At 40.2% G+C, this 16,671-nt stretch overlaps 1 protein-coding gene across 8 annotated transcripts in view, besides 1 other annotated feature; it reads left to right on the top strand.

Moving 5' to 3' along the window:
• Positions 1–16,671, top strand: part of KIF13B (kinesin family member 13B) — a 196,111-nt gene that overhangs the window by 3,927 nt on the left and 175,513 nt on the right. For 6 of the 8 annotated variants that reach the window (XM_011544459.4, XM_005273458.2, NM_015254.4 and 3 more), the window contains exon 2: positions 14,023–14,116. Coding sequence is in view for 5 of the 8 variants with exons in the window: in XM_005273458.2 (XP_005273515.1) it covers positions 14,023–14,116 (94 nt within the window). In the remaining 3 variants the exon portion in view is untranslated. Of the gene's footprint in view, positions 1–9,381; positions 9,478–14,022; positions 14,117–16,671 lie in introns of those variants that run through there. The other 2 variants (XM_047421619.1, XM_011544460.4) reach the window with 1 other exon arrangement.
• Positions 10,116–10,175: a silencer, noted in NCBI's record as "silent region_19068". NCBI's record gives its function as "represses an Ori minimal core promoter by ATAC-STARR-seq in GM12878 lymphoblastoid cells {active_cell/tissue: GM12878}" and the evidence as "EXISTENCE:reporter gene assay evidence [ECO:0000049][PMID:35858748]".

Below are 16,671 nucleotides of genomic sequence, written 5' to 3'. Positions count from 1 at the left end.
TAAATATCTATAAAAGGTGTTTGGAATACCTTTGTTACCTACCTAGCCTAAGGGGGTAGAACCGGGAAACGAAAGAAATGAAGATAGAAACAGTGAAATAGATTATTTCAGGTGTTAGGGAGAATGGACAAGAAATTTATTTCAGGAGATATTTCAAATGAGTTTACTTGGCATTTTCCAATACTTGATGTGGTGAAAGACACAGAAGTATGTAATAATGTCTAATAGAGTCAATGTAGAGTCAGTGCCTTGGTAATCATGATCTAGTATCTCAATGGAGGGACTATTATACAGCGATTAAAATGATGACAGTCAAAACCATTTAACAAGGAAGATCGTTTTCTCTGTTAGTGGAAAAAGAATGTAAAGCTGTACGTGTAACTGATCAAATCTATTATTATTACTATGTAAAAATGTATACAGGAATGGGCAAGAGCTAGAAAGAAACATGAAAAAGTGAAATTGATTGTTCTTGTTAGGGGGATTTTACTTCCTAAAAGTTTTCTTAGGGTTGCCTGTTACCATCATATTCAGTTTCTTAAAGCATGCTTTATGGTTCATGCCTGTGAGGAAATGACTGTCATGGGCTTGAAAAGAAAATGCCTGTGAAAAGATTAGATTAAAAGGTAAACAGCTGTAGCAGGCTGCTAGTTACTAAGTGCCAGGTGAATGACAGGGAAATAAGGGAATCGAGAGGAGTTTAGACTTCACTGAGGAGGGTGAACTTTGGTTGGACTTCCAGGGAGGAAGCTTATGATGTGAGCACGGGAGAGGGGATGGCATGTATTCTTTGAGGAGGAAGTATGGCCTGAGAGTGAGGACACAGAGACTAGAATGAGTAAAGCAGGTTTAGGCAGCAGAGATGAGATCTGCCTGCCAGAATGGAGATTCTGTGAGGATAGCTAGAGAATGATGGGACAGGAAAGGTCAGGTGGATTGCAGGAAGCCCTGAAAGCAGCCAGGCCAGAAGTCCGGACCTAGGGTGGCTGGTCCACGCACTCTGTTTTGCTTCTTGGGACCTTGTATGGGGCTTGGACACAAACACAACGGGGAAAGATTGCTAGATCCCAAAGCAAGATTGGAAGCTTCAGTAGATGACCGATTTCTGGCATAGCTGGGCAGGATTTAAAAGCGCTTGCTGAAAATGAAGCCTTGTGAATGGGAAGCATAAGGAAGTCGGTCAAAATTAAGCAGCTGTGAATCAACAGGCAAAGGAAAAACCCAGCAAGTGCGAGGAAGCTTAGAAGATGCTGGTAGTCAGTGAAGATAGAGGTGACCCTTAGGAAATGAAGGGACAGGAGAAGGTGGCTTTGACCCCTGGGGTCATTGGTGATTCTTCAGTATTCTCAGAGAGATCACTGACAGATGTGGAGCCAAGGAGGACCGTGGATGGAAATTTCTGGCAGTATTTGCTAAAACAGAAGATACTTGTTTTGTCAGCATCTGCTTGACATGCTAATGGTGAATGAGACACACATGTATTACAACATTGTTTTGTTTCTACTGTCAACTCAGTGACTGAAATTTGGATATATGCACATAGGGCCAGAGGCATTTTGAGAAGAAGGTATACTTTTAAATTCTTTTCCCCAAATCTCCTGTTTTTTGTTTGTTGGTTGGTTTCTTTGTTTTTATTTATTTATTTTTTTTGAGACAGGGTCTCCCTCTGTTGCCCAGGCTGGAGTGCAGTGGCATGATCATCACTCACTGCATCCTCAACCTCAACCTCCTGGGCTCTAGCGATATTCCTGCTGCAGCCTGCTGTGGAGTTGGTACATAGGTGTGCACAACCATGTCTGTCTAATTTCAATATTTTTTGTAGAGATAGGGTCTCACTTTGTTGCTCTGGCTGGCCAGACCTCTTTTCAAGAAATATACATTTATAATATAAAATACAATGTTGTTTAATTGGCATTAGCTTTTACCCTCTCACCTCCATAAAACAATAACTGTCCGACTTTTCCACTTCTTAAGTGCTGAAAATGGAAGAAACCACTGACAAAACTATTAATTAAGGAGATGGATTGAAGTGCTGATTGAGTGGAAATGGATGTATTGATCTCTATGCTTGCTCCTCAAGTTCCCCTTGTGTTTGGCAGAGCATGTTCTTTAAAAAAAAAAACAAAAACTCGACCAAGATGAGCAGTGTGCCCTGTGACCTGGGAAGTGCGTGAAACTAACTGGTCCACTCCATGCAAGTCCATGACTTAACTGTATGGGGCTTTCGCTCTGAGGAGATAAAGATATCTTTAGAAAATGGTATCCATTAGTCATTCATTTCAACAGTGTTGACTGAAGAAAAAGAAAATAGCTGCTTTTTGACAACTTTCTATTTGCGAGCAATGGAGTTCAATGCTTTTTAATGCATTATTTTATTCTTCAAACCAGACTTTGAAAAGGAATTGTAGGCCAGGTGTGGTGGCTCACCCCTGTACTCCCAGCACTTTGGGAGGCCGAGGTGGGTGGATCACTTGAGGCCAGGAGTTTGAGACCAGACTGGCCAACATGGTGAAACCCTGTCTCTACTAAAAATACAGAAACTAGCTGGGTGTGGTGGTGAGTGCCTGTAATCCCAGCTACTCAGGAGGCTGAGGTGGGATAATCGCTTCAACCTGGAAGGCGGAGGTTGCAGTGAGCTGAAATCGCACCACTGCACTCTAGCCTGGGCGACAGAGCGAGACTGTCTCAAAACAAACAAACAAACAAACAAAAAAAGTAGTAATTGTAGCATTTCTATGTAGCAGAACCTCAGAGAGGTTAATTAACATTCCCAGAATTACAAAACCCACCTGTGCTTTTACTACAATGTTGGACATGATTATCTTTAAGAGGATCTTGCTATCCTGAGATGACACCATTTTCAAAGATGTGCAGGATAAACTGGAAGCATAAGTCTTGATCTTCCATCAAAGGAGCTCCCAGTCTTGTTGATAATAAGATGCACATGTGAGTTCATTGGAAGAATATATGTACCTAGTGCACTGATGGCAGCCAATCATGAATTAAAGAAATGGGGGTGGAATTTGAGAACAGCACAGAAGACAGCACAAGCAGGCCCCTTGGCTCCAAGTTCCACCGGGGTGACGTGGAGGAATCCAGATGGGTGCTGCACATACAGTGGGTTTGTGTCGGCATCTGAGGATCACTGAACTTGGGGAATCCGCTGCAAAGTCTCTGATTTAGATGACTAGGTGAATGCTGGTGTCATTAACTGAATCAGAAGCACAGGAGAAGCAGGTTTTAGGGTGGAGGTGTGGGAAATGATGAGTTCTAGTCTCAGTCAACAGTGTGTCGTCAGTGCTTATGTGCTGTGTACCCTGCCTGCAACTATGAATAAGATGCAGTGTGTGCCTGGAAGCAACTCAGCACAATTGAGTTTTAGGTGTCTGAAGTGCAGCCAGGTGGATGGATCCAGAAGGCCATTGTGAATATGAGTCTGAAACGAAGGGACTGGACGTAGGTGTAGATTTCGGAGTCATTACTGTAGGTAGAAGATAGAGCACCTCAGGTGTGTCTGTGACAGAGGCGGTCACAGAGGCCAAGAAGAGCAACCTCAGGAGAATCAGGTGAAAGCAATGTTGTGGATGCCTAGGGAGGAAAAATGTGTCAAAAGAGTGAAAGGTGAAAGCAATCACATGTCACAGGAATGGCCGCGTGATTAACACAGAATTGTGTTCAGTGGATTTGGCATTATGATGGTCAGTGTTCATTTTCAGGATAATTTCACTGAAACGAATTAATTGGTATTGGGCATTGGCAGTGGGCTGAGGAGTGAGTGGGCGTGCCAGTATGGAGGCAGCGAGTCTCAAGAACATTCCTCTGAGAAACTCCAGGTAGAAGGGGAGGGTTCAGAGTGGTACCTGGAGGGGTAGGTACCTTTTTTTAAAAAAAAAAGTTTTGGGGAGATATTTGAACCTTGTATAGATAGAGCCAATAGATAGAAGTTTTTGAAATATGGGAGGAAGAGAATAATTATATAATGGGAAAGCCCAGGAATTTCAAGCTTAATTTTCTTGATGGGGTAGAATGTGAGGTTATTGAAAGTAGGAGGAATTGGGTGAGCTGGGGTCTTCTGAGTAGTGAATGTGTAGGAATGTGGTTGAAGGACCCTAACTGTATTTTCTATCTATTGAGGGTACTGGGGTCATCCATTCCGAGTTTTTTCTTCTTGGTTTTTAGATATAAGTCACATCCCCAAAGTGTACCATTCACTGGGTTTTAGTTTACTCACAGACTTGTGCAGCCATTATTAGTATACAATTCCAGAACATTTTCATCACCCCACAGAGGAACCTTGTAACTGTTAGCAGTCAGTCTCCATTTCCCACTTCCCAGCCCCTGGCAACCACTAATCTACTTCCTGACTCTATGGATTTGCTTATTCTGGACATTTAATACATGGAATCCTATATTATGTGGACTTTTGTATCTCACTTCTTTCACTTGGTATAATGTATTCAGGGCTCATCCATGTTTTGTCATGAATCAATACTTCATTCTTTTTATAGCTGAACAACATTCTGTTACACAGATATGCTGTGTTTTGTATTCATTCATCAATTGATGGGCATTTGGCTTGTTTCCAATTTTTGGCTATTATGAATGATGCTCCTTTGAACATTTATGTACAGGCTTTTGTGTAGACATGTGTTTTCATTTTTCTCAGATACGCATATGTATAGGAGTGGAATTTCTGAGTCATATAGTAACTAACTTTTGAGGAACTGTTTTCCAAAGCATATGAACCATTTTACATTCCCATAGAAATGCATGAAGGTTCCACTTTCTCCACATCCTCACCAACACTTGTTCTTGTCTCTCTCCATGAGTATTGCTATCCTAGTGGGTATGAGGTGGTATCTGATTGTGGTTTAGATTTGCCTTTCTCTGGTAGATAATGTTGAGCGTCTTTTCATGTGCATATTGGCCGTTTGTATAGCTTGAGAGAGATCTCTATTCACATCTTCCCCTTATTTCAAAAACTATATCTTTTTATTACTGAGTTGTAAGACTTCTTCATACATTCTGTATACCATTCTGTTATCAAATAGATGATTTGCAAATATTTTGATTTTATGGGTTTCTTTTTCACTCCCTTGTGTCCTTTGATGCATGAAAGTTTTAAATTTTGATGAAGTCCAGTTTATTTTTAGTTGCTTGTGATTTTGCTGTGATTTCTGAGAAACCATTATCTAACATCATGTGGATTTTCATTTGTTTTCTTCTAAGAGTTTGATAGGTTTAGCTCTTACATTTAGATCTTTGATCCAGTTGGAGTTTTGAATGTGGTATGAGGTAGGGATCCAACTTCATTCTTTGGCATGTGGATATCCAGTTGTTCTAGAACCATTTGATGAAAAGACTGTTCTTTCTCCATTAGATTGTCTTGGTACCCTTGTCAAAATCAATTGACCATAACTGTGACAGTATGTTTCTGGACTCCCAATTCCATTCCATCAATGTATATATGTCTTTCCTTATGTAAGTACCACACTGTCTTGATTACTCTACCTTTGTATTAAGTTTCGAAACTGGGAGTCAAGTCCTCTGACTTTGTTTTTCTTTTTCAAGATTGTTTTGGCTATTCTAGTTCTGCCTTAAGCGGGTTTTTTTTTTTTTTTTTTTTTTTTTTTGAGACAGTCTCACTCTTCTCACCCAGGCTGGAGTGTAATGTCGTAATCTTGGCTCACTGCAGCCTCTGCCTCCCAGATTCAAGCAGTTCTCCTTTCTCAGCCTCCTGAGTTTCTGGGATTACAGGTGCCTGCCACCCTGCCTGGCTAATTTTTGTATTTTTGGTAGAGATAGGGTTTCACCATGTTGGCCAGGTGCCTTATGAGTTTTTTAAATACCTGTTTCTTAGTCTTCTGAGGTTGATTGGTTTCTTTTTTAAACTGTTTATTTGTTTAGAGATGGAGTCTCATTCTGTTGCCCAGGCTGAAGTGCAGTGGTGTGATCATAGCTCACTATGACCTTGACCTCCTGGGCTCAAGATGTCTTCCCACCTCAGCCTCCCAAAGTGCTAGGATTACAGGCATGAGCCACTGCACCCAGCTGATTCATTTCTTGAGTATGAACATTTTATGTTTTTGGTCACATAGGATTATTTTATTTGTTTTCAGATATGGGGTCTTGCTCTGTTGCCCAGGCTGGAGTGTAGTAGCACAATCATAGCTCATCACAGCCTGTAACTCATGGGCTCAAATGATCCTTCCATCTCAGCCTCCTGAGAAGCTGGGCTACAGGTGCATGCCACTACACCTGGCTAATTATTTTTTTTAAATTTGTTTTAGGGACAGGTTCTTGCTGTGTTGCTCAGGCTAGTCTTGAACTCCTGGCCTCAAGTGATCCCCCTGCTTCAGACTCCCAAGTAGCTGGGGGATTATTTTAATTATTTTCACACTATCACATCTCCTCTCCTAACCTGGCATCTCATTCTTGTGTTAGCCATGTTAGAGCTCAGTTGTATTTTAATCTTTTATTTATTTAATACATTTTCATGTTTACTAGTAACAATATAAAAGTAGTGATTAGGTTATTTTATATATCTCTTTTTAGAAAATAAAGACCAATTTGCTTTTTACTTATATGGTATCACATAATTTTTTTTCTCCCAGGGTCAGCAGATCTCAATAAAAAAGGGGGTCCCAAGTAACTTATAAATAGAACAAAGTAGTATAGGTAGTGTTTCCTGCTATGCCATTAAATATTATATTCCAATTGGGAAAACAAGTCCTTCCTACATAAATATCATTGATGAATATTTTATGTATGAACATGTGTAGACATGGAAAAGTATTGGGTATGTGACACTAATTGGTTGAAAATAGGATCACATGTGGCATGCAAAGTTTGCGGTTGAATAAGTAAATCTTACAAATAGCTTATTATCTATCTTTAAAAAATGAACCCAAATGAATTTAAGAGTAAATTATAGTTAGATATTTAGGAACATGACTGGTAGATAAAGGGAGGTACACCTATGTTTCTGCATAATAGATTTGGTTTGGAAATTATTATTAATTTTCTGGAGAATTAGAAAATGAGAATTAGAAAAGCAGATTATTTTGTTCAAACTGAGAATGATGCATTTCCCCAGATGGAACATGAGTTATGTAAAGGGAGTCTCCCAGGCCCTGCCCGTGTTTTACTATGATGTCACTGGGTGCTAGCCATAGCTGATGTGTACAGCGAAGAAAGACTTGTTTTAAATTATTGTTCACTTTTACAAGGTGACTAATATGCTGGCTGAATAAACTGAGTTGTCAGCTGTTGATATTTTAATATTCATTGTGGGGAATTTGCCCTGGAAAGGAATCTTGTTTGGGAAATAATACGGAATCTTTAATGTTGGTGGAATAAATTAATTTCTTCCTTTTTTTCCTTCCTCCCCTTCCTTCCCGCTTCCCCCTTCTCCCATCCCCCTTCCCTTTTTCCTTTTTCCTTTTTTTTCCTTTCTTTCCTTTCCTGGCTCATGGGTATGTCAAAGCATTTGTGGTTCTGAGTACTGTAAAGCTTGATTACTCATGAAATAAACTTACAGTACTACTTTAAGATCACTCTGGTTTTTAATTGCTTCTTATACATAGTACTAATTAAATTATCTTGTTATTTTAGGCTTCACTATGAATAAACTGTTGTCCATGTGTTACTTATAATAGTATTGAGTGCTATATTTTAAATTGTGAAATACAATATATTTACCATTTTAGCCTTTGAAGTGCACAGTTCAGTAGCATTGAGTACATTTCACATTGTTGTATCACCATCACCACCATCTATTCGCAGAATGTTTTTCATCTTGCAAAACTGAAACTCCATCTCCATTAAATAACAACTCCTCTTTCTCATTTTCCCCCAACCCCTCATAACCCCCATTCTACATTGTGTCTCTATGAATTTGACTACCCTAGGTACCTCATATAAATGGAATCATAGACCTTTTGTGACTTGCTTATTTCACTTAGCATGATATCTTCAAGGTTCATGATATGATGCGTCAGAATTTCCTTCCTTTTTAAGGCTGAATACTTTTCCAGTGTATGTATATACGTTTTGTTTCTCCATTCGTCAGTGGGTGCTTGGGTTGCCTCTGCATTTTAGCTGCTGCTGTGAACACGGGTACACTTTAGTGCTGTTTTTACAAAGGCAGTGCATAGCAGCTAGGCTTTTTTTAATTTAGTATTTTAAGCCAAGAGAAAGGTGTTGATCTTTTGGATTTTTGATAGGTGTTTTTTGTTTGTTTTTCCAGGCTAAATTTAAGGCTTAAATTTGTAACTGCTATTTAATCATTGTTTTGCCTTTTTTTTTCTTCCAGACAGGGTCTCCCCTCGTTGCCCAGGCTGGAGTGCAGAGGTGTGATCTCGGCTCACTGCAACCTCTGCCTCCCGGGTTCAAGTGATTCTTCCGCCTTGGCCTCCCGAGTAGCTGGGATTACAGGCTCCCACCTCCACGCCCGGCTAATTTTTGTATTTTTTGTAGAGATGGGGTTTCACCATGTTGTCTACGCCACTGCTTTGCTTTCTAAGTGCTATATACAGCAAGAAGTTTTCAGTGGCGAGTGTGTCATATTTAAAATCTTGTAGCAACACAATTTAATTCAACTAGTAACATTTGATGGTACACTAGCTATAGCATTTTATATCGAAATGTGTTTCATTTTAAAATGCTTTTCATATATCTGACCCTTAAGCTTGCTTCAGATCTCACTGCCTTTATTTGATTGGGCATGTGTCCTAGATGTTCTGCCCGTATACATATTCTCAACAGTCCTTTGAAAAGCCTTCTCTTACTATCCTTCAATCGACAGGGTTGGGGTGGGAATTTTATTTGACAAAAAAGATTGAAATAGTGAAGATGGTTGTTTACATATTAAAGGCCATCTTTGATGGGTGTTAGATGTAAGGGACATTTTTAAGTTGCCGTCTCTAGGACAAAATGAGTTTAGGTTAGGTGTATTAGTTATTAGGTGATTTTTTTGTATTATTTTGGATTTTCTAGGGATTGGTCCCTTAATCATACCATTTAATTCTTCCAAGTTATTGGTTTTATCTGATGATATGCATGGTGTAGGGGGTGGCAGAGGGAGAAGCTGTTAAGAGCATATGAGAGAAACGTGAATACTGAAGGACAGTATTTGGCTGCCTTCTTAATTGAAGATAATTTGAAATGAAGGAACTGCACTATTGTGGGGGAAATGTTTGATGAACCACCCATTTTTTTCAGGCCTGCGTTCTAGATGTATTCTGTATGAGAACGGCACTTAGAGTTCTTCTGTGCAGACGAAATGTTCTTGCAAGAAACTAATGACCAACTTTGTGGTGGGTGGTGAGTCACAGTAGATTTCCGGAGAGTTGATAATGTGCTTGTGTATGATACAGATTTGACTGTAAGGAGCCAGCTGATACAATATGGTCAGATTCCATTAAGCAGTGGTTTTAAGAAACTCTCATGGACCTCTGGGCCTGAGGAAGTGAAGAGGTAAAATTGCATGTTTGAAAACTTGTTGCAGTGTGGCTGAGACTTTCTTGCAGCATTTCTGTGATAGTCTAGAGCAGATTTAAAGACAAAACATCAGAAATAGACTTTAATGCCAGTTGACCATGGTAGAACAGATTTGCCTTTTTTGGGTTTGTGTTTCCACATTTAGGTAAAACATAGCTCTAAAGTTTTCCTTTTGATTCTCTTTGCTCTTTGCTTGAAAAATGTGTTGGCTAAAGGAGAGACCACTAACTACTTAGTACTTTTTGAATACGTATTTGAGAATAAATGTAAAATAACTGATGTGAGAAAAGTTAAGTTTTGGCCAGCACAGGGAAGGAAGTTTTTGTTTTGTTTTGCTTTTTTGCATTTGGCTTAATTATGTGAGTTAAAGTGAAAAAAACAATTACCTTTCTTGAGAGTGGACACACTCTTAAGTTATAATGAATATGACATTGACATTTGGCCAAGGTTCTTTAGGAAGTACAGCATAACTCTGACATGGTATTGTTCCTTTCCTTAGAGCTTATCTTTTTTTTTTTTTTTTTTTTTTTAAAGACGGAGTCTTGCTCTGTCGCCCAGGCTGGAGTGCAGTGGCGTGATCTTGGCTCACTGCAACCTCCACCTCCTGGTTTCAAGTGATTCTCGTGCCTCAGCCTCTCGAGTAGCTGGGACTACAGGCACATGCCACCACGCCTAGCTAATTTTTTTGTATATTTAGTAGAGACGGGGTTTCACCATGTTGGCCAGGCTGGTCTCAGACTCCTGATCTCAAGTGATCCACCCTTCTCGGCCTCCCAAAGTGATGGGATTACAGGCATGAGCCACTGTGCCCGGCAGAGCTTATCTTTTAGTAGCGGAGATAAGGGAAACAAACAGTTTCATACTTTGGTTCAGAAAAATATAAGAATATAAGAATATGAGAGGATAAACAAGCCATGGTCTTTACTTTTTTAAAACAGCTGTATTGAGACATCATTCATGCCCCATACAATTCAACCAATTCAGTGTTTTTAGTTTGCTCACTGTTGTACAGCCATCAGCACAATCAATTTTAGAACATTTTCATCAGCCCTGAAAGAAAACTGTACCTGTTAGCAGTCACTCCTTGGCCCTAGACAACACTAATTTATTTTGTCTCTACAAATTTCCCTATTCTGGATATTTCAAGTAAGTGGAATCATACAATGTATGGTTTTTGATGACTGGCTTTTTTCACTTAGCATTAGCTTCATACACAGTGTAGCTTGTATCAGTTCTTGATATAGTTTGGCTGTGTCCCCACCCAAATCCCATCTCGAATTGTAGCTGCCATAATTCCCTCGTGTTGTGGGAGGGACCCAGTGGGAGACAAATGAATCATGGGGTCAGTTTCTTCCATACTGTTCTCATGGTAATGAATAAGTCTCACGAGATCTGCTGGTTTTATAAGGGGAAACCCTGTTCGCTTGGCTGTCCTTCTCTTCTCTGCTGCCATGTGAGATGTGCCTTTCGCCTTCTGCCATGTTTGTGAGGCCTCCCTAGTCACGTGAAACTGTGAGTCCATTAAACATCTTTCTCTTGTAAATTGCCCAGTCTCGAGTATATCTTTATCGCAGTGTGAAAATGGACTAATACAGTTCTTCATTCGTTTTTTTGCTCAGTAGTGTTCTGCGCTAGGGATATGCCACATTTACCCATTGGTCAGTTGATGGACATTTGGGTTGTGTCCACTTTTTGGCTGTTATGAGTATCCAAATAATGGTACTGTGAACATTTGTGTACAAGTTTTGTGTTCTCATGGGTATGTATCTAGGAGTGGAATTGCTGGGTCAGATGGTAACGCTGTTTAACTTTTTGAGGAGCTGCTGGACTATTATCTGAAGTGACTGCACCATTTTACATTCTCACCAGTAATGTATGAGGGTTCTAATTACTCCACACCCTTGCCAACCCTTGTGATGATCTGTCTTTTTGATTATAGTTATCCCAGTGGATGCGAGATGGTATTTCATTGTGGTTTTGATTTGCATTCCAATGTTGAATGATATGGAACATCTTTTCTTGTGCTTATTGGCCATTTTTATATCTGTTTTGGAGAGACGTATATTCAGATCCTTTGCCTATTTAAAAATTTGATTATTTGTCTTTTTTTTTTTTTTTTTTTTTTTTGAGACAGGGTCTTACTCTCACACCTAGGCTGGAGTGCAGTATTGCCATCACAGCTCACTGCAGCCTTGATCTCCCTGCCTCAAGCCATCCTCCTATCTCAACCTTCTGAGTAGCTGGGACCATAGGCTCCCACCACCATGCCTGGCTATTTTTAAAAACTTTTTTTCTTTGTAGAGACAGAGTCTCTGTGTTGCCCAGGCTGGTCTCAAACTCCTGTGCTCAAGCAGTCCTCCCAATTTGGTCTCTCAAAGTCTTGGGATTACAGGCGTGAGCCATTGCACCTGGCCTATTTGTCTTTTTATTATTGAGTTGTAAGGGTTCTTTATATATTGTGATGCAAGTTCCTTATTAGATACATGATTTGCAAATACTTTTTCATTCCCTTTTTCACTGTCGATGGTGTGCTTTTTGAATCACACAAATTTTTAATTAAAAAAAATTTTTGTTTTTAGAGACAGATCTCTTTTGCCCAGGCTGTAGTGCAGTGGCACACTCATAGCTCACTGTAACCCTGAACTCCTGGGCTCAAAGGATCCTCCCACCTCAGCCTCCCCAGTAGTTGGAACTATAGGTATGTACCACCATACCTGGCTACTTTTTTGTTGTTTTTTTTAGACGTGGGGGTCTCACTATGTTGCTCAGGCTGGTCTTGAACTCCTGGCCTTAAATGATCCCCCCATCTCAGCCTTCCAAAGTTCTGGGATTACGGGCATGAGCCACCATGCCCAGCCCCAGAGTTTTTAATTTTGATGAGGTCCAGTTTATCTTGTTGTTGTTGTCTGTGTTTTGGGTGTTCATTACCTAATCCAAAGCCATGTGGATATACACTTTTGTATTCTTCTAAGAACTTAATAGTTTTAGTTTTTACATTTAGCCCTTTGATCTGTTTGGAGTTTTGAATGTGATGTGAGGTAGGGATCCAACTTCATTCTTTTGCCTGTGGATATCCAGTGTCTCACCATTTGTTGAAAAGACTATTCTTTCTCCATTGGGTTGTTTTGGCATCGTTGTCAAAATCAATGGACCATAAATGTGACAGTATATATTTCTGGGGACTCAATTCTATTCCATCGATTTATATATGTCTTTCCTTATGTAAGTACTGCACTGACTTGATTACTGTGGCTTTGTAGTAAGTTTTGAAATTGGAGGGTGAGTGCCCTCCTTTTCTTTTTCAAGATTGTTTTGTCTATTCTGAATTTTTTGCATTTCTGTATGTATTGTCAGACCTTGTTGGTTTTTATAAAAAAGCTAGTTGAGATTTTAATAGGATTTCCTTGAATCTTGTAGATCAATTGGGGAATATTGTCATCTTAACAGTATTGTCTTTCAATTCATGAACATGCAGTGTCTTCCTGTTTGAGTCTTTAATTTCTTTAAAAAGTTTTTTTTTTTTTAACTGATATATCACAGTTGTACCTATTTTGTGTTTTTCTTTCTTTTCTTCTTTTCCCCCGAGACAGAGTTTTGCTCTTGTCTCCCAGGCTGGAGTGCAGTGGCACGATCTCAGCTCACTGCAACCTCTGCCTCCTGGGTTCAAGCGATTCTCCTGCCTCAGCCTCCCTAGTAGTTGGCATTACAGGTGCCCACCACCATGTCTGGCTGATTTTTGTATTTTTAGTAGAGACAGGGTTTCATGTTGGCCAGGCTGGTCTCGAACTCCTGACCTCAAGTAATCCACCCGCCTCGGCCTCCCAAAGTGCTGGGATTACAGACGTGAGCCACCGCACCCGGCCATGTGATATTTTGATACATGTATACAATGTGTAATGATCAAATCAGAGTAATTGGGATATCCCCCACACGTCTTTAATTTCTTTCAACGGTGTTTCGGAATTTTCAGTGATAAGTCTTGCATTTCTTTTACATTTATTCCTAAGTATTTTGATATTTTTGACGCTATTATAAATGAAATTGTTTTCTTAATTTCACTTTCAGATTTTTCATTGCTGGTATACAGAAACACAACTGATTTTTATATATTCTTGTATTCTGCGTAACATGTTTATTCTCAGATTTTTAGCGGTTTCCTTAGGATTTTCTCTTAGGATTTACTTCTTCCTTTCCAATCTGGATGCCTGTTGTTTATTTTTCTTGCCTAACTGCCCTGACTAGAATTCCTAGTACAGTGGTGAGTAGAAATTGGATAGCAGACATCCTTGTCTCATTCCTGATGTAGGGTGGGAAGCTGCCCAGTCCTTCACCATTAAGTGTGATGTTAGCTGTGGGTTTTTGTTGGTGCTCCTTATCAAGTGGAGGAAGTTTTTTTTATTCCTACTTCATTGAGTGTTTGCATTATGAAAGAGTATTGAATTTTTGTCTTTTCTGAATTTTGCCTTTTCTGAAATAAATTACTTTTTAAAATGACTGTTTTTCTTGTTTTTTTATCCACAGAGACTGACTTGCATACCAAATGTGTGGTGGATGTGGATGCAAACAAGGTTATTCTTAATCCTGTAAATACGAATCTTTCCAAAGGAGATGCCCGGTGAGTTAAGAAACAGTGCTGTGCTCAATGGATGTTTAAGTAACTGGAAGCAACTGTGGCTGCTGAATTAAGTTGCATTGAATAGATATCGAATGCCTACCCTGTAGAGACATATTGCTGTCTTCTGTGAGCCTGTACTCAAGTTGAAGAGATGAAGTCTATAATATGGGATGACAGTGTGCCTGAATGAGTATTAGAGGTAGTAATTGTATTAGAAGCACACAGAAGAGACTGAGTGTTATGTTGAGAAGCAATTGAAGAAGGCTTCTTGAAGGAGGTGCAGCTGGCTGGAGGATTAGCTAGGATGTAAGTCGGTTCCTTAGCATGAGTGGCTTTTACTTCTGCCAGTTCAAATGCTGTCAGAGCCCATTTCAAGTGCTATCTTCATGAAGGTATGCCTGCAGCCCGCAGTGATGTCTTTCCTCTAAATACCTGTCAGTTATAATCTGTCCTACCTAATTTAATGATTATAGATTGTTTTGGATTGTAACTTCCAGCTGTACAGTGGATTTTAATGTCTTTGGGGGAAAGAGACTCGAGGGCTGAGGATGAATATTTGAGTATCATTTCTAGATATGTATGGTAGTATGAACAAAAGGAAAGGGAAGAACATGAATTTGGGGCAGGAAAAGATTATTTTGGGTTTTCTTAGTAAATGGAGGACTGTAAATAAGCTGGGATAAGATTACAGAAGACCTGGAAAGCAGATGAGGAAGTTTGGCCTGTATTTTTGTCAGGAAGATTTTGTTTTTGGCAGTTTTTGAGTATTATGATTGAGGATCAAGGTGGATTAGGAAAAGTTGTTGATTGGCAATGTAGAGAATGGGTCAGAGTGGGGATAGGCTGACCTTTTCTGGAGATCAGCTGTATCAGAGATGTTTTTGTATTGGCCCTGAAAGTGGAGAGGTGAAAGACATTTGGCATGAGGCTTTGTGCAAAGTAGGATTCATAAATCCTTCTAGAACCAGCGCTGTATTTGGCACTCTGCAGATATTCTTTTGAGTTGAGTTTAATTGAGTTGAAAAGAGCACTGGGCTGGGCGCAGTGGCTGACGCCTGTAATCCCAGCACTTTGGGAGGCCAAGGTGGGCAGATCATGAGGTCAGGAGATCGAGACCATCCTGGCTAACACAGTGAAACCCCGTCTCTACTAAAAATACAAAAAATTAGCCGGGCGTGATGGCGGGCGCCTGTAGTCCCAGCTACTTGGGAGGCTGAGGCAGGAGAATGGCGTGAACCTGGGAGGCAGAGGTTGCAGTGAGCCGAGATCACACCACTGCACTCCAGCCTGGGCGACAGAGCGAGACTCCGTCTCAAAAAAAAAGAAAAGAAAAGAGCCCTGGATTTGGAGAAAATCTGAAATCGAATCCTTCATTATGTTATCATAGTGAGTTATTTTTAATTTTTTTGAACCTGTCTTACGTGTCTCACAAAAGTTTTTTCCCACAAAGATCAAATAAATTAGTGACTTTTAAAAGATCTTGCAAAGTGTTCTGTACATGGGCAGGTTTATTGTTATTAACATAGAGACACATACAGCAAAATGTATAGCTTGATGAATTTTCATAGTGAATACATTCCTTATAATATAAGTGGCACCCAGATAAGAAACAGAACGTTGCTAGCATGGCAAGAGACTACATCAGGAGAAGTAGTTTTTCTTTTTTTTCTTTTCTTTCTTTTTTTTTTTTGAGGCAGAGTCTCACTCTGTCGCCCAGGCTGAAGTGCAGGGGTGCCATCTCGGCTCACTCCAGCCTCCGCTTCCTGGGCTCAAGCAATTCTCATGCCTCAGCCTCCCAAGTAGCTGGGATTACAGGTGTGCACCACCATGCCTGGCTAATTTTTGTATTTTAGTAGAGACAGAGTTTTGCCATGTTGGCCAGCCTGGTCTCAAACTCCTGACCTCAAGTGATCTGCCTGCGTCGGCCTCCCAAAGTGCTGGGATTACGGGTGTGAGCCACCACACTGGGCCAGTTATTACATTTTTTTTTTTTTTTTGAGACTGGGTCTTGCTGTGTTGCCCAGGCTGAAGTGAAATGGTGGCGATCTTGGCTCACTGCAACCTCCGCCCCACCAGGTTCAACCAATTCTCCTGACTCAGCCTCCCTAGTAGCTGGGATTGCAGGCATCCACCATCACTCCCAGCTAATTTTTGTATTTTTAGTAGAGAAGGGGTTTCACCATGTTGGCCAGGCTGGTCTCGAACTCCTGACCTCAAGTGATCCGCCTGCCTTTGCCTCCCAAAATGCTGAGATTACAGGCGTGAGCCACCACACCCGACCGGTTACTACATTTTTAAGCCAAAATGTATTCAATTCAATGCTTGAGTATAGATGTCTACCAAGAAATCACCTAGTTCTAGAGAAATTTCAGCTTTGCAAGGTCATAAACTTTATTTTACTCAGTTTGCTTAATGTTGAGTGGAGTCTTGGGGACTAACATGCCATCTCTTAAGGAGACAGGCAGGACCTCTGATTTTATGTTTACAGTGAATAAAATATTAATCTCAGCAATCCATTCTTCTCCTTCTTGGTATCAACTAATTGGAAAACCAGG

Source organism: Homo sapiens, chromosome 8, assembly GCF_000001405.40.
Source record: "Homo sapiens chromosome 8, GRCh38.p14 Primary Assembly".
Lineage (NCBI taxonomy): Eukaryota > Metazoa > Chordata > Mammalia > Primates > Hominidae > Homo > Homo sapiens.
Note: the sequence above shows the minus strand (reverse complement) of the source record. Positions and strands in the feature narration are given on the sequence as shown.